At 39.2% G+C, this 23,099-nt stretch overlaps 1 protein-coding gene and 1 non-coding gene across 4 annotated transcripts in view, besides 1 other annotated feature; both read right to left on the bottom strand.

Moving 5' to 3' along the window:
* KAT2B (lysine acetyltransferase 2B) overlaps positions 1-23,099 on the bottom strand; it is a 113,959-nt gene that overhangs the window by 14,903 nt on the left and 75,957 nt on the right. For all 3 annotated transcript variants that reach the window (XM_047449147.1, NM_003884.5, XM_005265528.5), the window contains 5 exons: positions 19,779-19,904; positions 16,698-16,834; positions 13,389-13,597; positions 11,953-12,079; positions 2,450-2,560 (listed from right to left, as the gene is read on the bottom strand). In XM_047449147.1, the coding sequence (XP_047305103.1) occupies positions 2,450-2,560; positions 11,953-12,079; positions 13,389-13,597; positions 16,698-16,834; positions 19,779-19,904 (710 nt within the window). The remainder of the gene's footprint in view (positions 1-2,449; positions 2,561-11,952; positions 12,080-13,388; positions 13,598-16,697; positions 16,835-19,778; positions 19,905-23,099) is intronic.
* Positions 1,861-1,937, bottom strand: MIR3135A (microRNA 3135a). Its single transcript, NR_036086.1, has one exon. It is a non-coding gene; the product is annotated as a microRNA 3135a (primary transcript).
* Positions 13,402-13,481: an enhancer, noted in NCBI's record as "active region_19583". NCBI's record gives its function as "activates an Ori minimal core promoter by ATAC-STARR-seq in GM12878 lymphoblastoid cells {active_cell/tissue: GM12878}" and the evidence as "EXISTENCE:reporter gene assay evidence [ECO:0000049][PMID:35858748]".

The following is a 23,099-nucleotide window of genomic DNA, read 5'->3' as shown; positions in this document are numbered from 1 at the left end:
TTATTTTCCAAGTAATTATTGCCATCATCCTCAAAGAGGACTACAGACAAGTCATTTAAGAACCATAGCTGAGATCTTATGCTTTGCACTACAGTTACAGCTGAGGAAAGCTGATGCTCAAGACCTCAGTGAAACAATCCAATTAAGTTCTCAGTGAGTTTTACCATAAAAGTTAAAATGCATCTCAAACAATGAGAAGATAATAAATAGGAGATTATTTATCTGTCTTCAGAGCACAAAAAGCTTTCTAATTACATAAGAACACATTTTTAAAAAAAAAGAAGTCTGGCTGGGTGCAGTGGCTCATGCCTATAATCTCAGCACTTTGGGAGACTGAGGCAGGAGGATCACTTGAGTCCAAGAGTTCAAGACCAGCCCAGGCAACATAGCAAGATTCTCTCCCAACCCCTCACCATCTCTACAAATGATTAAAAAAAAAAAATTGCTGGGCATGGTGGCATGCACCTGAGGTCACAATTACACAGGTAGCTGAGGCAGGAGGATCGCCTGAGCCCAGGAGGTTGAGGCTGCAGTGAGCTATGATCATGCCACAGCACTCCAGCCTTGGTGACAGTGTAAGACCCTGTCTCAAAACAAACAAACAAACAAAATCCAAACCAAAACAAGTCAATAGATTTTATGTAATAACATCTTTAACATTCTGAAGATTTAAAGAAAAAGCCATAAGCAATGTTGAAACAAATATTATCCAAGGTTAATATAGTTATATACTAATAGTTCTCACAAATCAATGTACAACTAAACATTTTTATAGAAAAAGGGACAAAAGAAAATGAATTAGCAATCCAAAAAAGGAACAAATACAAAGAATTGATAAACATGGAAAAATAAATCAAACTTCACATAAATAAATTCAAACATACACAATTTATTATCTGGAAAAGTGGTAAATTTTTTTTCAGTTACCAACTCCTTTCCTGACCCCCTTATACACTGCTGACAAAAATGGAAATTTTTAAAATATTTAGCAACACATTACAAAAACCTTGATTTATTCTAAGCAAATTACCATCAATGAGGGCAAAACATGTACACAAACACACACCCATACACATGCACATTACCTACAAGAAACACCTAGTCAAAAATGTATTGGTTAAATATTTTCTATTTCTACAACAAAATCCTAGGAAACCACCAAAATTATTATATACACAGTATGAACCAACTTTTATGTTTATATACACACAGAAAAAATACTAAAAAGATTTATGTCAAAGCATTAACAGCATAGGTATGAGCTGAGAGGAAAAATAACAGAAAAAATTTTAAAATAAAAAAATCAAAGCATTAACAGTAAATTTCTTGGGGTGACAGAATTACAAGCCATTTTTCTTTCCTTCTTTTGCTTTATTACATTTTCTACAATGATTACACATTACTTTTATAGTCAGAAAAGTAAATGAAAATGTTTAGGAATTATAAATCACTATTAAAAATAATATGCAGTCAAAGAATAGTCCTCAAAAAGCTGAGCTGAAAACTTATTTTAAGACTTATTTAAAGAGAGACAAGTTCTCACTATGTTGCCCAGGCTGTTTCAAACTCCTGAGCACAGCAATCCTCCTGCCCTGGCCTCCCAAAGTACTAGGATTACAGGCATAAGCCACTGCACCTGGCCTGAGCTGAAAACTTCTGATAAGAAACTGCTAGGACAGAGGCCTGGTGAGGTGGCTCACGCCTATAATCCCAGCACTTAGGGAGGCCGAGGTGGGTGGATTGCTTGAGTCCAGGAGCTCGAGACCAGCCTGGGTAACACGACAAAACCCTGTCTCTACTAAAAATACAAAAAATTAGCTGGGTGTAGTCACAGCTACTTGGGAGGCTGAGGTGGGAGAATCACCTGAGCCCAGGAGGTCAAGGCTGCAGTGAACTGAGATTGCACCACTGCAGTCTCAGCCTAGGCACCAAAGTGAGACCCTGTCTCAAAAAAAAAAAAGGAAGGGAGGAACGGAGAAAGGAAGGAACTGCAAAGATGACAGCCAAGCTCCTAGCCCACTATGTGCTGTAGAATCAGGACTGTTTGCAGGTTTTTATAAACTCCAGGATTTCCTTTCTGCTGTCATAAATGGAGGCCTTCCAGAAACTGAATCTGTTTTTCTCATTCACAGAGAATGCTACCCACCAAATTCCAGGACTGGGAATTTCTTATTAGAAACCATATTTTAGAATGTTAGGATGCAATATTATACCTCACTGACAGGTGACATTCATTCATTCTCTCAACAAATAGTTATTCAATACTTACTATGTGCTAGTGACACTCTCTAATCCAGGCTGAAGCTTATTTTTGACATAAGGCTTGTAAAACAAATGCCTGTTCTTATAAGTAGAAAACACTGGGGGAGAAACTTATTTGGAAGAACGCTACCTGAGAACATATTAAGAAAAGGAGTGACAAAACAGTGTTGCGTGGTGAGAAACCAACCTGTTTCTTAAAGTATCCAATTGCATATTCATCTGCATATGTGAGGAAGTTCAGGATGTCATGCTTTATGTGATATTCTTTCAAATGATTCATCAGGTGTGTTCCATAGCCCTGTGTGGAAGTTAGTATACAAACAAATACATTAGACTGGGGAGAAAAATTTTTACAAATCCATCAGGAAATGATGGTGAATTCAGAAGTTTGTACTTTTACATATTTTACCAACCAGGACCTTTCCTGAATGAAATATATTAACACCCTTTCTTGCGTTTCTTAACTTTGAAAATAAGCTATAAAACCAAAACAAAATCAAAATCCTTGCTTCAAAGATAAAAATCATCATTTGAAAATGTAAGTTTCTAGTTATTTGAAAATAACACACCAGGGCCACAAGTTCCTAGCTCAATCTTAAAGATCACTTGCTGAATAGTAATATAAAAGTTTTCAGAATGAATGTAGATTATGAATTTCTGCTTATCTTTAAGGTATTTGAGAATCTCAGAAGAAAAAAAAAAGATGCAAATGAAAAGTGCTAATCTTCACTAGAATATTTAGTAATCCAAGTGTTTACTGTACACCACAAACTGGCAACCCTTCTAAAGAACTGAATCATCACATACATAGCATTTTAAATTTGGTCTTATCAGACCTTTCCAAGTAAGGTCTGAGAAGCCCAGAATCTCTGAATCAGCCAGAAGACATTAGAAAGTAACTAAAGGTAGTCAACAATGTTGAATAAACTCAGTCATTGAAATATTTTTATAATATCAAGTTTTTTCAGTGACAAAGCTTACAGAAAACGTGTAAATCTAATGTGATTGTTTTGGAACCTCATAAAGAGAGATAAAAGTAAATCCAAGTGTCCAGACCCAAATATCTTCACATAAATTTTCTGCAATTTGGTGGCACATTTTTCTAAAGAACTCAAATATATTCCCAGGTATGATCTCATGGAATCACAGTACCTCAAGGTCAGAAGGATCTTTGGAAGTCATTCTATCTAACCCCCTAATCCATATGAGGCTAGAGGTCTTTTGCCATCTATCATGAAAAGGCAATCTGCTAGAACACCGCCAACGTAGGCCAATTCCTTGGTGGTGAGATAGACCAATTCATTTTCAGGCATCATATAGTTGGGAATTCCTTCCTAACGTTCACCCAAGATCTGGTCATTGTTATTTCTACTTATTGACCTTAGTTCTACTCCTAGAGTTACAAAGACTCATTCCTGCTTTTAACAGCCCTTCAAGCCTTTGAAGATTATGCTCTCTCACACATGCCCATCCGTACTTTCCCAGTCCCAAGCCAAGCACCATCAAGGCTATAGTCATTCCTCATATGGCATGACTGAATGACACCTTATCAAACTAATCACTTTGGTTTTTATTTTTTTTTTTTTGAGATGGAGTCTTGCTCTGTCACCCAGGCTGGAGTGCAGTGGCACGATCTCGGGTCACTGCAAGCTCTGCCTCCCAGGTTAATACCATTCTCCTGCCTCAGCCTCCCGAATAACTGGGACTACAGGTGCCCGCCACCACACCTGGCTAATTTTTTGTATTTTTAGTAGAGACGGGGTTTCACTGTGTTAGCCAGGATAGTCTCGATCTCCTGACCTTGTGATCTGCCCGTCTCGGCCTCCCAAAGTGCTGGGATTACAGGCGTGAGCCACCGCGCCCGGCCACTAATCACTTTTTTCGGAGTTTTTTCTAATATAACAATGCCTTTCTAAAGCATGGATCCTAGGACCAAGCATAATAATAAGGGGACGGTATGTCTAGTAAACAGAACAGTATCATCATCTCCCTCTTCTGCAAATTATTCTTCCATTGATGTCACCCAAAGACATTTTAGCTTTTAACTTTTCCCAAACATATCACAATACTGAACACTGAGAGTTTGAATAAAACTTGGATAAAAACACAAATGAACTATTTCTCTCCTTGAGGAGACGATAGTAAAATGGGGAAGATAAACATATAAACACATGTGTATAGAGGTATACTATTCAACAGAGTAGACACTAGCCTCATGTGGCTACTGAGCAATTGATATGAGACTAGTCCAGTTTGAAATGTCCTGAAGTATAAAAACACACTAGGAAAAAAATTCTCATTACTAACATTTTATACTTATTACATGTTGATATGACAATAATTTTAGACATATTAAGTAAAAAAAAGTCAAAATTAATTTCACCTGTTTCTTTTCACTTTTTTAAATATGGCTACTCAAAATTTTGAAATTACTTATGTGACTTGCATTTGAGGCCTGCATTACATTCCTGTTATGCAGCATTTGTACAGAGTGATATATTTGTATCTTCAATAGTGGGCTGGGCGCGGTGGCCTATAATCCTAGTGGCTCACGCCTATAATCCCAGCACTTTGGGAGGCTGAGGTGGGCGGATCATGAGGTCAGGAGATCGAGACCATCCTGAACAACATGGTGAAACCCCATCTCTACTAAAAATACAAAAATTAGCTGGGCGTGGTGGCACGTGCCTGTAATCCCAGCTACTCGGGAGGCTGAGGCAGGAGAACGGCATGAACCAGGGAGTCGGAGGTTGCTGTGAGCCAAGATCTGAGCTGAGATCGCGCCAACGCACTCCAGCCTGGCGACAGAGCGAGACTCCGTCTCAAACAACAACAACAACAAAAACAACAAAACAAAACGATAGTGAAAAAGACCATAATCAAGGTGGTAAAGAGAAGACGAATAGAGGAAAAGGAAATGTTTAAGCTAGGCCTTAAAAGAGCTTGTCAAATTGAAAACAAGAGAAGGAAATGGATTAGAAATCTAAATGTAAGGTAAAATAAACCTTTACAAAAGTATTATAAAAAGATATAGGAAAAGTGGGCATATAACTTAGGGATACAAAAAGGCTTCTTAAAGAAAAAATAAAATGCAAAAGCATGAAGTAAAAGACTGATTATTAAGTAGAATACTTCAAATTTTAAAACGTCTTCAAGGCACCATAAGTAATCAAAGATACCATAAACAAAAGACAAATGACAAGTGAGGGGGGGTGTAGTTGCAACATATATTACAAAGATTTAATATCAAAAATACATAAATATCTTCTATAGAATCAATACAAAAAAGAGATAGAATAAAAGAAAATTTGTCAAAGGCTAGAACAAGAATAAATATTACCAGTAAATATAAGAGATATGTTCGACCTCAATAGTGATCAGAGCGCTCTACCATAAAATGAAATATTGCACTTGACGGCGTGCAAATACGTTTACAGTTTATGTACCCAGTGCCAGCAATGGTAGGGGGAACTATTCTCTCCAACACCACTGGTGAAAAATGTAAACTGGGAGACCCACTGAGAAGACAATCTGGAAATAATTTTTTAAATTTAGACCGGCCATATTCATTCATATAGGAATTCTGCTTCTCAGTGTCTAAGGAAACATTTCCAAACAGAACATTGCTGATGATAGAAAATTACCAGAAATAAGCAAATATGTCTTCAATAGAGAAATGATTACATAAATTATGGTGCATCCATATTATAAAATACTGTATAAAAAGAATAAAGTAGCTATATATCAGCATTAATAGAAATTCCTGCAATTATGGAAATGTTCTTTATCTATGCTATCCAATATGGTAATATTAGTCACATGTAGCTACTGAGTACCTGAGTAACCAAGGATGTAAATATTCATTTTAATTTAAGGTATCTAAATACAAATTTAAACAATCACATATATGCACTAAAGCTGAAAGGTCTCTAGGACAATGTAAAGTTTTTTTCCAGTAATGCAATGCATACAATATGAATTCCATTTATTTAAATGGGAAAAAAGCAACAACAAAACACACAGTCACCTCTTACCTGTAAGTTCAGTAAGTTCCAATATATGTGTCAATACCAAAGTACCTGGAAGGATGCGTACCAAGCTGACAAAAATAGCAGGATGGTAGTGGGAAGGGGAAATGGGATTTTTGTTTTATCTGAAAACGCATTTGTATATGTCTTACATAATTAAAAATTATTTCTAAAAAAATTTTTTTAACTAGAGGAAAGCAAATGGTTGGCCAGTTGGAGTGAATTGCATGTGCACAGGAAAAGTAATGTCTAAAAATTAGTAAGAAATGTGTCTTCTAATGAAATTCACTTTAACACGGATGTCGATGCAAGAGAGATTGTTGTATGCACCATCTTGTAAGGAGTTAATAGAAACTATAAATTTGTACCCTTCATCCATAATCCAATTAATTTTACTCAAGAACAACAATGGTTCTTTGGTAAATAGCTTCTCAAAACCTGCATAAGATATTTTTCATCAGTGACCACAAATTTGCCATCTCTCCAAAAATCTTTTCCAGATTCCAAGTTGCTTGTGAGAAAGGGCTGTGTCTTTTAACTTGAACTTCCTCTGTATCTAGCTAGTATTTGTGACTAGCAGTCATGGTAGTTTAAGTACTGCCTTGGTTAGAGAGGCAGTGACAACATAAAGCTATTATAAGCAAATGTTTATTTAGATTTTAACCCCAGACCTATTTCCCCTTGTTTGTACACCTTTATTTTTACCTGCCATCAAAAGGATCATTTTCTAACTATCTGGTAACTTCAGTGTTTATTTAAATACCTATTATGGTAAATAAACATTAGCTACATAATTTTAAAGCTGTATATAATATCAAATTCAATATTTTTTTCTTTTGAGATGGAGTTTCACTCTTGTTGCCCAGGCTGAAGTGCAATAGCACAATCTTGGCTCACCGCAACCTCCACTTCCTGGGTTCAAGTGATTCTCCTGCCTCAGCCTCTGAGTAGCTGGGATTACAGGCATGCACCACCACACCCAGCTAATTTTGTATTTTTGGTAGAGATGGGGTTTCACCATGTTGGTCAGGCTGGTCTCAAACTCCCAACCTCAGGTGATCCGCCCGCCTCAGCCTCCCAAAGTGCTGGGATTACAGGTGTGAGCCACCACGCCTGGCCCAAATTGTTTTTAGATTACAGGATATTCCAAAATCAGGAGAGGAGCTTCAAATAAATTCTCATATGTTATCTTGTGTTTTCAGCACAATAAATCCACATAAAAATCTAATTTAAAGAATTCACAGGAATTTATCAGCATGATTCTCCAAAATGACCATATACAGATTTTAAAGTGCCATTTAGCCAAGATTTTTAATATAGTAAATAAATACTTAAAACGTCTGTTTATGGTTGGGCACAATGGCTCACGCCTATAATCTCAGCACTTTGGGGGGCCAAGGAGGGAGGATCTCTTGAGACCAGGAGTTCAAGACCAGCCTGGGCAACACAGGGAGACCCTATCTCTACAAAAAATAAATTAGCCAGGCATGGTGGTGCACATCTGTGATCCCAACTACTCAGAATGCTGAGGTAGGAGGATTACCTGAGCACAGGAGGTCGCAGACGCAGGGAGCTGTGATCATGCCACTGCACTCCAGCCTGGGCAACAGAGCAAAACCCCATCTCAAAAAATTAAAAAATTAAAATAAAAATAAAACCTCTGCTTATGAATTTGCTGTCTTCAGTAATATATGCTATAGCCACTGGGACCCATTCAGTTTTACTCCATATTGAAGAAGTGCTTCCATGTTGTCTAGTGTTGCTGGGTTGGCAGAGCTCAGCAATCTTTATCTTAGACTATACGCCAGTGAAAATGTAAATATCTTGGGCAGTGTGATGTCTCAAAAGTTGTTCATTAATCATTAATGACACAGGACAGTAAAAAGATCAGGAAATTGGCTGGGCACAGTGGCTCACAACTGTAATCCCAGCACTTTGGGAGGCCGAAGCAGGCGATCACCTGAGGTCAGGAGTTTGAGACCAGCCTGGCCAACGTGATGAAACACCATTTCTGTTAAAAATACAAAAATTAGCCGGGCATGGTGGCTGACACCTGTAATCCCAGCTACTCGGGAGGCTGAGGCAGGAGAATCACCAGAACCCAGGAGGCGGAGTTTGCAGTGAGCCGAGATCACGCCATTGCACTCCAGCCTGGGCAACAAGAGCAAAACTCCGTCTCAAAAAAAAAAAAAAAAAAAAAAGGCCAGGAAACTAAAGGAAGAACTGTTTCTCACATTCTTACTTCTACTAAAGATTGGTTCTTACCATTAGAACACACACACACACGCACGCATGCACACACACACACGTTCTTACCATTAAAAAACACACACATGCACGCACACACACACACACACTAAACTCATCCATTCTATTTTGTTTTGAAAGACTAATCTTCATTATCTTCATTTTCTAAAACTACAGTTTCAAGTCACTTACAAGAAGTGATTGCTTTTCTTGTTCTTCCTTCTGAGTTTGTGATGCTTGGCCACCTTCCTTCAAGTCTTTAGAAAATTACATGGTTATGGGGGGGAATTGCCTTTCTGGGAAGTAATAAGACAAAGTATCCAATTCGTATTAAATACCTTCAGTTTCCCTTTAGTATCCCTAAAAGTGTCCAACTCAACCTTAATCAGCATTTCCAAACAAGGTGTTTGGTATAGCTATCTTTGAAAATAAAAATTACGCCATCTTTTTCTAAAATTACAAACCAAGGGCATATTTTCCAGGTCTTCACCCTAAGAAAAGCCAAATAAAATTTTCCTTTAAGTAAGTTCTTAAACTTTGAACATTTGGAAACATCTGGACATTTGTCACTTTGGCTAGCGGAGAATAATGATAAACACAGCAACAGCACCATCTAAAGACACACTGTCAGAATTCCTTGAAAATGAGCCAGAGATCAGTTTCAAGCAAATGTGGGTCTTCACCTTCCCCAGTCAGAATGATGAATGTAAGACTGCTGAATTGCATTTGCCCTTTGATGCTTAGTGCTAGGAGTCGAAGACAAAAAGCTCCACTTGTGCTTTGTGAGAATAAATACATTGCAGCAGCTATAATTCGTGCTGAGGCCGGGCGTGGTGGCTCACGCCTGTAATCCCGGCTACTCAGGTGGCTGTGGCATAAGAATCACTTGAACCCAGGAGGCGGAGGTTGCAGTGAGCAGATCACATCACTGCATTCCAGCCAGAGCAAAAGAGCAAGACTCTGTCTCAAAATAATAATAATAATAATAATAATTTTAAAAAATGGGTACTGTGACCAGAGAGTGAAGCTGTTAATGAAAGCTAAAGTACCAATAGCCCAGGCTGTGCCCCTAATGCAGAGAATGATTCCTTTCAGGGACTTACTTTTGGTTTCTGTAAATGGTATTGCTTCTTTGAAGCTGAAGGAGTCAACAAAATACTTAGACCAGCACTGTCCAATACAGGAGCCACTGGCCACACGTGCCTATCAAGCACTTGAAAGGCAGCTTGTCTAAATTGAGATGTGTTATAAATGTAAAATACATGCTTGGTTTCAAAGAGTTAGTATAAGGCTGGGTGTGGTTGCTCATGTTTGTAATCTCAGCACTTGGGGAGACCAGGGAGGGCAGATCACCTGAGGTCAGGAGTTCAGGACCAGCCTGGCCAACATGGCGAAACCTCATCTCTACTAAAAATACAAAAATTGGCCGGGCATGGTGGCATGTGCCTATAGTTCCCAGCTACGCATGAGGCTGAGGTGGGAGAATCACTTGAACCCATGAGGCGGTGGTTGCAGTGAGCCAAGATCACACCACTGCACTCCAGCCTGGGCAACAGAGTGTGAACCTGTCTCAAAAAAAAAAAAAAAAAGACAGTACAGAACAAAGAATGTAATGTAAAAGGTCTCCATAATTCTTCGTGACATTGAATGCCTGTTGCAGTTATATTAATACTTTGGATATATGGGTAAAATAAATTTCCAAAATTAATCTCACTGGATTCCACTTGCTTTTTTAAAAATATATACATATAACTACTAGAAAATTTAAAAGCACATAATATGTGTGCTTTTATAACCTCATATTTGCAGGCTGCTTTATATTTCTATTGGACACATTGCTTTAGACCTTCCAATAATTTTTCTCAGCAGCCATCTTAATCATCCGGAGCTGCTAATCTTTAGTCCACCCATGAAAATCCTAAATGAATAACATTCTTTTTTTTTTTTTTTTTTTTTTGAGATGGAGTTTCGCTCTCATTGCCCAGGCTGGAGTGCAGTGCTGTGATCTTGGCTCACTGCAACCTCCGCCTCCCGGGTTCAAGCAATTTTCCTGCCTCAGCCTCCCAAGCAGCTGGGACTACGGGCATGTGCCACCACACCAAGCTAATTTTGTATTTTTAGTAGAGACAGGGTTTTACCACATTGGTCAGGCTGGTCTCAAACTCCTGATCTCAGGAGATCCACCCACCTTGGCCTCCCAAAGTGCTAGGATTACAGGTGTGAGCCACTGCCCAGCCCTAAATGAATAACATTCTAAGGACATGTTTTCTGGTTCCCTTTTCTTAAAAGCAAGAAAGTAGAACAGGACAAGGTATAGATGAGAGCTCTTTCTGTCAATTCAGAGTCTGGTTTATTCTCGCCAGACTGCGACACCAACTGCAATACCAATAAAACATGGACACAGTTCCTGGAAAGGAAGGGACCTAAGCCAAAGACAACTGGGAAGATAAATTAGCAACAAAAAAAAACAAAACAAAACAAAAAGACACTCCAACACATGCCAAACCCTACAGGAATAACTTCTGAAATTTATTCATAAATTTACATGACTTCCCTTATAGAATTTCATGACTTCCCTTAAAGAATTTCCTTAGTCCTTGTTTTCCCTTAGGGACAAGGTCATAAGAAATCTTTCTGAAGTGTAAGCTGCCTAAATCATCTTTCTAATCCACATTAACCATATCCTTTCCAGTAGTTCAGTGTCACTAATTGTGATTACATGTTTGCGTGTATGTGTAAATTAACAATGAACACTGAGATCTATTTTTCAAATATCCCTTCATTTGCTATCGACTACACTTGAGTTACATATTGAACTTGTACAGTATCCTGGTACCTCGCCCCAAAGTCCAACAAAGCCTTGGTACAACCCTACTTGTTGGTAGGTGAAACCACTTACTCTCCTCACACACATACACATACACTCACAGTGAGACAGAGGTCCCCAACCCCTAGACCATTACCAGTCCGTGGCCTGTTAGGGACCGGGCTGCACAGCACGAGGTGAGTGGCAGGCAAGTGAGCATTACCGCCTGAGCTCTGCCTCCTGTCAGATCAGTGGTGGCACTAGACTCTCATAGGAGTGCAAACCCCATTGTGAACTATGCGTGCAAGGGATCTAGGTTGCATGCTCCTTATGAGAATCTAACTAATGCCTGATGATCTGAGCTGGAACAGTTTCATCCCAAAATCATAGCCCTAATCTGACCCGTGGAAAAATTGTCTTCCGTGAAACCAGTCCCTGGTGCCAAAAAGGTTGGAGACCATTGGAGTGAGAGGACTATTCCCAGAAAGTCCTTAACTCCACTTTGAACCTTCTCTGGACATGGCACAGAGAGATCTTCCCAAGCTCTGCAGGCCTTAGTGAGAAGCCCCACATTCTGCTCTTCTTCTAAGACCTTGGGTTTACCCTTACCTTGACTTGCTCATTTGAGGTTACAGCACAGAAGACAATCTCTGTGAATCCTTGAGATGGGAACATACGGAAACAGATACCACCAATAACACGGCCATCTTTAATTAAAGCAAGGGTTTTGTGTTTCCTGAAAGAATAAGATTATGTCAAAGTTTTACCTATCCTAGTTATATAAATATACTTTTTGGGGTGTTCCTTATTAACCAACTAAGAAAGAGGGACATGTCCTAAGTTTCTATAGAAACTTCCTTCATGTAGCCCCTATCTCGCTAGACCATCCTTTTATCTGAACTTTTTAGAGCTAGGTCGCCTGCACAAGATGTCATCAGCACTCCCATCAGAACAAAATACCAGTCACCTAAGAAGTGCCTGAGGTTTACAAATAGAGAACAGAGTATGTGCAGAGGTGCTCTGGAACTGGCACAGCCAGTGCCAAGGAGGGGTCAGGGAGAGCAGGAAGTCATGGACAAACATGGTATGTGTCTCTGAAGAGTTAAGTCTTACTCCAAAATATTACAGAAACATTATGAAAAAGAATTTAAAATTTACATATACAATTTGCAAAATTCCGCATTATGGAATCCTTCCCTCTGTCTAAAGCATCACTCTGAATTGTCACAGGCATGGATCACAGTCCCCATAGGCTACTGGGCTATGTATGTTAAAATAAATTCAATTAGAGAAGTTTAGTTCTTTAGGGTTTCGTGGGTTTTTTTTTTTTTTTTTTTGAAATGGAGTTTCGCTCTGTTGCCCAGGCTGGAGTGCAATGGCACGGTCTCGGCTCACCACAACCTCCGCCTCCTGGGTTCAAGCAATTCTCCTGCCTCAGCCTCCCAAGTAGCCGTGATTACAGGCATGTGTCACCAGGCCTGGCTAATTTTGTATTTTTAGTAGAGACGGGGTTTCTCCATGTTGGTCAGGCTGGTCACAAACTCTCAACCTCAGGTGATCCTCCCACCTCAGCCTCCCAAAATGCTGGGATTACAGGCATGAGCCACCATGCCCGGCCTAGTTTTTTGTTTTTTTTTTTTAAGCAATGGATTTTCAAAGTTAACCTGTCTTATATCCCAATAATTGCCCACAGACCTGGGCAATAATGGCACCTAGTTAAGATACCAAAACCAATATTTTGATTATGAAGAAAGCAGAACATCTTAGTGTTACATTCTCTCACTGCTATAAAGAATGAAGCACAGGAGAGTCATCAGCAATGTAAAATATAAAGTTTCATCATCATTAACAAGAAAATTTGTAAATTGTTGAAAATTACTCTTAGCACTTTCAGACATGAAAATCAGCTTGGTGAAGCTCTGTATCCACAGCAAGACAGGTGCAGTAGTATTCGGTGGATGACTATGGCTGACTTTCACTATCTAAGCAGTTCCTCTTTCATTTAAAAAGGAAATAAGGAAGAAGGAACAGAAAGTACCACTTACGGGTCAAAGACGAGCCGTGTGATGTATTCTTTTGGCATTCGGGGCAGCTGGTGGGAGAAAACGTTCTGTAGGCCAACCAGCCACATCAGGATCTTCTTGTTTGGTTTCTGGTTGAGGGAATTGCCAACCACGTGAAATTCAATTACACCCCTGCGCTCTTCCAACCTTGCCGCCTCATCCCTGGCCGAGTGTGCTGACAGAAAATTGGTCTGAGATGCAAGAGACAGGAAAAAATTACACAGAGCTATTCTCTCAAGACAGTGGGGATGGGACACATCCAAGCTTCTCATCTTTGTTCTAATAAGATACACATTTGTGGATTTTCAGAGTCCTAAATACACATGTGTGCACACATACACACAGAGACACATACACATACAAGTTATGAAGACAAGACAGAAAAGGCAGGTAAAGCATTTTGAGAAATTGGAGTATTATATGTGTACACGGATGATATTCAGTGTAGATTAGGGGCCAGCAAAGTTTTCTGTGAAGGGCCAGATAGAAAATATTTTAGACGTTGTGAGCCATAAGGTGTTTGTCACAACTACTCCTTCTTCTGCTATAATGCAAAAGCATCCACAGACAATATGTTAAAGAATGGGTGCAGTACTGTTCCAATAAAACTTTATTTAAAAATACAGTAAGCAGACAAAATGTGGCCTGTGGGTTATAGTTTGCCAACCTCTGGCTTCAAGGAATCCTCTCCAGCTGAGCTTTAAGGACCCTTGAGATGACAGATTCAAATTCTCATTACAGGCCCAATAGTAGCACTCATGTATATATTCTTTTTTTTTTTTTTTTTTTCTGAGACGGAGTCTCGCTCTTTCGCCCAGGCCAGACTGCAGTGGCGCTATCTCAGCTCACTGCAAGCTCCGCCTCCCGGGTTCATGCCATTCTCCTGCCTCAGCCTCTGGAGCCTGCCACGGCGCCCAGCTAATTTTTTGTATTTTTTAGTAGAGACGGGGTTTCACCGTGTTAGCCAAGATGGTCTCGATCTCCTGACCTCGTGATCTGCCCGCCTCGGCCTCCCAAAGTGCTGGGATTACAGGCTGAGCCACCGCGCCCGGCCTCATGTATATATTCTTAACACCTCTTTTTAAAGAACAGTTTTCTTTCCAGAGAATATCTGTTGACCTACACTCAACCATAGCTGGAAGCACAACCATGTGCCAGCACTTATGCTCCCCATCTTATTTAATCTGCCTAGTGGTTTGCAAGTAGATGCTCCACAAACAGCTCTTCAAGGAAGGAAGGCCCTAACTGGTGACACTTCATCTCATTAGTCCAGAACTGGCTATCCAGGTAACCAGGTGCCATGCTAGTCAACTTCAAGCTACCAACATATGGAACAACCAGCTCACAAAACTCCTGAAAATTTAACAATTTTCTTGTGCATTCCAGTACAAGCCAGCTCTAGTACACTACTAAATATTAATATATCCAAAATATTTTCAAACATGTGACTGCATCCTGATGTAGTTTGAATGTGTGACCCCTCCAAATCTCATGCTGAAATGCAATCTCCAATGTTGGAGGTGGGGCCTAGTGGGAAGTGTTGGATCATCAGGGCAGACCCCTCATGAATGGCCTAGCACCATCCCCTTGTTGATGAATGAGTTATTGCTCAGTTAGTTCATATGAGATTTGGTGGTTTAAAGGGGTCTGGCTCCTCCTCCTCACTCTCTTGTTCCCTCTCTCACCATGTGATGTGCCTGCTCCCACTTCACCCTGCACCATGAGTATAAGTTCCCTGAGGCCTCCCCAGAAGCTGAGCAGATGCTGATGCCATTCTTGTACAGTCTGTGGAACTGTGAGCCAATTAAAGCTCTTTTTTAAAAAAATAAATTACCCAGTCTCAGGTATTTCTTTGTAGCAATGCAATAGACTAGTACAAATCCCCATTTTATAGCTGAAAAAAACCTAAACTCAGCTAATCTGTAATGTTACTAAATCCCTAAAAAACTATAGTCTTAAGCCCTCACAGACTGGACATCTAGGAGGAAATGGAAAGATCAATTTTAGGAAGAGATTTTTCTATTACAACATTCTGGTTCTCTGAAGTATCCTCAATGTCATAAAATAAATATTTAAAGAAACATGACAAATTGAAAATTAACACTGTAATATAATCTCCAAGCCATTTCTTCATTTCCTGGAAGCTGTCAGAAATGTCTTAAGACAGGTATGTCTTAAGAAATGTCATTGCCTTGCATGCCCTCAGATGCAAGGCAATGAGATGACAGCAGCATTTTTACCAAAAATGCCTTACTTGAATCTAATCCTTAGTAAACAATCAACAAATCCAAAAAGAGGGACCTTATACAAAACTAGCGACCAAGACTCTTCACCAATGGCAGTGCTGCAAAAGACCAAAACAAGGCTGGGGAGTTGTTTTAAAGGAGACTAAACAAATGAAGAGATAAGAATTAAATGCAATGCACAATCCCTAACTGATCCTTCAACAACAACAAAGGTTATAACTGACATCATCTGGCTATATGGGAAATTTAAATACGGTTTTATATTAGGCCAGAGGTCAGCAAACTTTTCAGTGAAAAGCCAGATAATAAATATTTCATACTTTGCAAGCCACACATTCCCTGTCTCAATTATTCAAATTTACTGTTGTAATGCAAAGACAGCTGCAAACAATATGTTTCAATAAAACTTTATTTGAAAAAAACAGCCAGTGGAGCAGATTTGGCTTGCAGGCTGTAATTCACCAACCCTGTATTAGAAAATATTGTAACCAGGCTAAATTTTCTAAGAGTAATGACTGCATTGTGGTTATGTAAGAGAATAGCTTCCTTATGAGATACAGTACATGCAAAAATAGTTAGGGGTGAAGTATTATGACATGTGTTTTTAATTCTGAAATGGTTCCAAATGGTTCATGGGGAGTGGGGAGAGAAAGAAAAAGAGCATATGGGGAGGCGCAGAGAGAAAGAGAGGTAGCAAATGTGGCATAATGTTAACTGCTGAATCTCAGTAAAGAGTCTATGGATTTTTATTACAGAATTTCTGCAACATTTATGAGGGCTTGAAATTTTTCAAGATAAAAAGCTGGGAATGATGCCTTCAACTGTGAGATTATTAGTAAGTGGACCTGTGATGTGATATTCATCAAGGGGAATTACCTCTTGATCAGTTGTTCCTGCCCTCTCCACACTGACCACCAGGTTAAATGCAAACCAGGGTAGCATAACATGTTAACTCTCAGCATTAGCATCCCCACTTCTGACAGCTGGAGTGGCCAGGAGAGCAGAAGAGGTCTACCAGCTGGCTGCCCAGGTTTACCCTGCTGACCTCTGGTCCAAGCATTGCTGCAGGGTCCGTGATGGTAGACATAACCTCGTTGATTAATTCCATCGGAATATCCCCCATAACTCGGGGTTTCTTGGCCTCCTCCAGAACATGAGAATCAGTCATTTTCCTCTTTTCTCCTATGATGATCAAAATAAAAGGCAAACAATGGGTGGTTCTAAACACAAAACAAATAATACACGCCAACTAATTTTCTAACAGCATTGATGGGCATGGAGGTCAACTCTATCTTTACCACCAGGGGAAGGGGTGACAAAGGAAGACAGGAAAGAGAGCCATTGTGAGCTCACAATAACTGCCAACCCAATTCATTGTGAATATTTTCTACTTTCTATGATGATTTTTAACTAGATACATGAAATATTAAGGCACATGTTCCTTCATCTGCAAATGCAAAGGGGTGATTCTAGCTATTGTTTGTTAGTACTCTCTAATATAGTCTCTTCAAGGTCAGAGAACATGGTCCATATGACACCAAAACGTCAAAATGGATTGAAATTTTTACCTTATGACCTAAAATAAGACCAATCTTTTGTAAATGTGCAGTGTCTTCTTGGAAAGAATGTGTATTTTCATATTTTGATCTCTATAACTCCATTAGCTTCAGCTTACAGATCATGTTGTATGGATATCAGTAAGAGCCTTACTGATATTTTTGTCTGTTTGACCTATGAATTACTCAGTTGTTTGTTTAAAGCCTCAACCGTTGGTTGATTTGATTATTTCTCCTTGTAGTCATGTTAATTCCACCCCGCCCCCACCGGCACCCCACCATATATGTACGGAAATCAGTTTGCATTAGGCTTTGGGCTTTATTGGTTAGTTATTGCTATGTAATAAACCAACCCCAAATGAGTCTTAAACCATAATAACTTACTATCATAGCTCATTCATTTCGTATGTTTCCTGATGGGTGGCTGATTTCAGCTCATCTCATTCAATCTTGGCAGGCTTGTTCATGAGTCTACCCACTGATTGGAATCTCTGTGCTGGGCTTGGCTATACACACACACACACACACACACACACACACACACACACACACACACACACATATGCATATGTGTATGTATGCATATATATTATGTATATATAGCTATATATTTGAAATATACCATAAATTATTTTTAATAAACAAATTTATGGATTTAATTTTCTATTATAAAATGACACACTTTATCTTTTACAATGCTTTTTTGCCCTAAAATGATGCCTCACAAAGTGAGCAGGACCACTAGCCTATCAAGTAGATGCAATCTCACCATTCCACACAATAGGAGAGCCATGCAAAGGCAGAGAGAACTTTCTTCCGCTTTCCTCATGAGATTGCATGGTAGTTTTTTTCTCCTTTCTATTCTCATGTTTGGTTTTTCCAGTTTTTTCCAGACATAACATGTATTTATTTTTACAAGTAAATTTTTTGAATTTTTAAGATGTCTAGATCTAATTTATTTCCTCACATGTGAATCCCACTGCTATCTCAATATAACATTCTCCACATAGCATTCTCACTATCTCTAGTTGAAAAGGAGCAGAACAGTATAAAGTAACTTGACTGTAGACGATTCTTCCAGAAGTATTACATATTATTTACTAAATCACTTTTGTCGAGTTCTTTTTTTTACAATTTTTTGTTGTTTGTTTTTGGAGACAAGTAACAATATTTTCAGACATCTGACCAATAAGTCCTCAAATTCCATGATTCCCTAAGAGTAATGCTGAAAACTATTTATTTCGTAGCTGGGGTTTGTACTTGATATGCCCTCTGCTTGTTAGACTGCTAATGGTGTTTATGATTTTTTTTAAAAAGTCTGAGGCTGAATCCAAGCTCACTGGTAAAGAGTTTCTGCATGAATTAGTGATATCTCCCTTGGAAGTGAAAGGGAATGGTGGCATATGCTAAATATATGGCACTTCTTATATTATAAGGTCCTCTTCTTTCCCTCTTTCATGGTACTTCTTTTATTTAAAAATTTGGTCACATCCAAGATTTGTCTGACGTCAAGTCTGTGGACAGAAATGCAACCTTCAAAACATTCTCTAACTGTGAAATGCTTCTAGGCTCAAGAGATATTTTTGCCCATGTGGTAGATTACATTAATGGCCAAATTCTTTACCCTCCTGGTATCTACACTCTTTGCTATGTGACTTTGCAGTTATTCCTACGAAAGGAATAGACTACCTTTTTCCACTTCTCCACCTCTCAACTCTGAGTTCAACTACGTGACTTGCTTTGGACGACAGAATGAGGCAGAAGTCAGCAGGGTATGGTGGCTCACACCTATAATCCCAGCACTTTGGGAGGCCGAGACAGGTAGATTACCTGAGGTCAGGAGTTTGAGACCAGCCTGACCAATATGGCAAAAACCCATCTCCACCAAAAATACAAAAATTAGCAGGGCATGATGGTGGGCACCTGTAATCCCAGCTACTCAGGAGACTGAGGCAGGAGAGTCACTTAAACCCAGGAGGCAGAGGTTGCAGTGAGCTGAGATCACACCACTGCACTCCAGCCAGGGTGACAGTGTGAGACTCTGTCTCAAATAAAAAGAAAAGAAAAGGAAAAAAAAAAAGAATGTGGCAGAAGTGATGGTTTACAAGTTCCAAGCCTAGGCTTCAAGAGACTGTGTATTTCTTCCTGCCCTCTCTCATCACAAGAAGGACATGTTCCGGGTAGCCCAATAGTCCCAGGAAAATTATGAGAAATATGTGAAGCAGAGTTGCTTCAGCTTAAGTGCTCTAGCCAAGCCAAGCCCAAAACAGAGATTATAATCAATGGGTAACTTGCAACCAAGCCCAGCCAAGATTGAGTGAGACTAGCTGAAATCAGCCAACTCTCAGGCAACACACCAAATGAGTGAGCTATGACAATAAGTTATTACAGTTTTAAGATAGCAATAACTAACCAGTACAGCCAAAAGCCTAATACAAAGTTATTTCTAGCTGTTAAAATCCTGGACATGCACAATCTGTACTTGGTTCAAGTCTACCTTTTGCACTCCTCAGGTAATGGAGCTCCTGGAGCAAGTCACAGCCCTCTCTTATCCCCTCTTAAGAGCTTACCTGGGTTTGCCTCAAGTCCAGAAGAGGCTTTGCAGGCAGGACTGCTGCTCCCTGCGTTTGGCTGCTCAAGGGAAGATGAGGTTGAATTGTATGAAATTGTCCCAGCCACAGGAGGTGGATTGATAACTGCCCCGGCAAAAGGAGAAGAAGGTGTTAGATGACTGACTCCTTTCTTAGGTAACAAGAAACGAAGTGCACATGGGACCACCCCACTCCTGCCCAATGCCACAAAATAAGTCATCTTTAAAACATAAGCCACAAGGCATCAAAATAGTAAAGACAGCAGGGACTATAACTCATTAAATAGAATAAGGATATCTGAGTCTATATTGATAAAATAATAAATGAATACATAAATAAATTAGTGGAGATGAGAAAAGCTCAAGAACACCAACAAAGAAATAAGGACGGAGTTATGGTAGTTAGTAAAAAAAAAAAAAAAAAATCACTATTTGGCAGCCACCATATGATAACTGATTTGGGGAAGTTCATGTGTGTAGGCTAAAACCTGTGAGTATAATTTTGATGAAGACAAGATATTTATACAGTCTCAAAATATCTCCCCACAAAAGTATTTTTTTGATTAAAAAGGAAAGGTGGTAATACTGCAGTGGAGAAAGCTGGTGACCACCACCAGAACCATGTGATCAAACTTAATACCAACAATGATGGGACAAGCCAACATCATATGCCTCCTGATGCAATGGAAAAATTGCAATAAACCACATTATTGAGACAAGAGGCAAAAACAGAAGACAGCATATAGCTTAGGTAACTATACTATATCAATGTTACATTTGCTGACAGAAAACTATAGTTTTTATGTTAGAGAATACATGAGAGACATCAAAATTACTAAAGGGGCATGATGTTTGTAACTTTCAACTAATTTAGGAGAAAAAATATATATAATATATATTTGTATTTATATATAACGTATAAATATATATATTATATATATAGTTCGCTCTCTCTCTTTTTTTTTTTTTTTTTTTTTGAGACAAAGTTTCGCTTTTGTCGCCCAGGCTGGAGTGCAGTGGTGCAATCTTGGCTCACTGCAACCTCCTCTGCCTCCCCGGTTCAAGCTATTCTCCTGCCTCAGCCTCCCGAGTAGCTGAGATTACAGGTGCCTGCCACAACTCCCAGCTACTTTTTGTATTTTTAGTAGAGATGAGGTTTTGCCATGTTGAGCAGGCTGGTCTCAAACTCAAACTCCTGACCTCAGGTGATCCGCCCACCTAAGCCTCCCATAGTGCTGGGATTACAGGTGTCAGCCACCACGCCTGGCCTATATAGCTCTCTTTCTCTTTTTTTCTCTCTCTCTACTCTTCCCCTAAGTTTTATATATACATATACACACACATACACACACACACACACACACACACACACACAAATTTAGGAGAAAATATATATACCTATATATAAATAATTATTTATTTATATATAAATAATATATTTACATATTTTTGTAAAAATGTAAATATATTTACATATTTACATATGTAAATATATAGTATATTATATATAAATTTAAACTATATAATATATTTTATATATATTTAATTTTTTTCTCCTAAATTTTTTTTTATATATACATGTAAATAACTTAGGGGAAGAGTGGAGAGAATTAAAGAGAAAAAGAAGGGATAGAGAAAGGGTAATAATAAAGCAAGGATGGCAAAATGTTAACAATTGGTTTATAACCAGGTAAAGCATATAAAATACACAGGATTTCTCTGTCACCTTCTTGTAACTCTACTGAAAATATACAGGATTTCTTTGTCCTCTTCTTGTAACTCTGTGAGTTTGACAGTATTTCCAAACAAAAAGGGACTATTTTGTATTTTAGAAAAGGCCATTGTACAAAGTAGGATGCTGCTTTGCTAGCTGTGTTGCTGACTGGTAGCTGATGAGGTGAGAGGTGACAAGGGGTACAGACATTCTCAATAACACTGGTCACATACAGGACACAGCATGGCAGTACAGACAATTGTCAGAGAGAACGTTCATCTACGTTTCAACACAGCCACAGTTCAGTCAACAAGGACATTCCCAGCAGCCAAGAAGGCAATAAAATAAGTAAACCAAGCAAGAGAGATACCAACCCATAGCACTTCTAACTGAATAGCCAGTGGTTTGTCAAAAATCAGAATATACTAAAGTGCCAGGCTCTATGTTTTTTTCTCCCAATATATAGGCCTTCTGAATTTCAAAGCATACTGGAGTGATTCTGAACAAAGAGAAAGCTCTGGTGATTCAGAAGACATCTGAGTATCTTGTAAAATTTCAGGTTCATCCTTATGAATGTCATTTATCACAGTTGCATCGATACGCAGACATGCTAATTAAGTAGATGATTACACTCTTCTGTTCCCCCAAGAGAACACATTGCAATTACAGTAGAACAAGAGAAGACAGCCCACTTCTGATGGCTTCAGGTAATACTAAAGTGTACACGCCAACTTAACTTGGTGACAACCTTAGCCACAGAAAAACGAATAAAATTCCCATAGGGTCACAGGCAACAACCTCTTCCTTCTCCATCCTGTACTATGACAGATAACAATGTGGCTGGAAGTTGAGCAGACTGGAGAATTTTGAGCAAACAAGGGTCAAGGGGAGTTTTCACACACAGAAATCCTCTCCACAGACCCACCACAGGAGAACTATGTTGATCCTGCTGAATAACTTTGGTCCCCCACTGCCTGAGGGAGGAAACTGTTCTTCACTCATTCCTTCCACAAGTGTATGCTGTATATTGGCAGCACACACCAAGATGGTGTGATGTAGTGGTTAGAGTTCTGGCTCTCTTAATACAGTGTAATATTTAGGAATTAGATACGGATGTGAAACCCAATTCCATCACTTACAAGGTCTATCTTGGGCAATTTGTTGCTCCTCCCTGAGCTTCTATTTCCTCAACTATGTAAAGGAGATCATAATTCCAACTTCCCAGGGTTTGTGAAAAGGCTTAGATACCAAGGAAGCATCTTAGCTGAGCACTTAATAAATGTATCAATTATTGTGACAAAACTGGGTCTCTGACCATCAAAAAGCTGCATTCACAGGAGATGAAAAGACATACAGAAAAAAAGGGGCTAGGATAATATGAGGTGAGAATTGTCTAACACAGTCATTCTCAAATGTTGCTGCATATTAAAATTACCTGGGGAGCTTTTTAAAAGTCCCAATGTCCAGGCCACACCCCAGGACAATAATCTCACACTCTCTTGGAATGGCACTCAGAAAACAGTATACAGTGCATTTCAAATTCCATGGGTGATTCCATTGTGCTGCCATGTTTGAGAACCATGGATA

The sequence above is a fragment of the Homo sapiens genome, chromosome 3 (genome assembly GCF_000001405.40).
Source record: "Homo sapiens chromosome 3, GRCh38.p14 Primary Assembly".
NCBI classification, from domain to species: Eukaryota; Metazoa; Chordata; class Mammalia; order Primates; family Hominidae; genus Homo; species Homo sapiens.
Note: the sequence above shows the minus strand (reverse complement) of the source record. Positions and strands in the feature narration are given on the sequence as shown.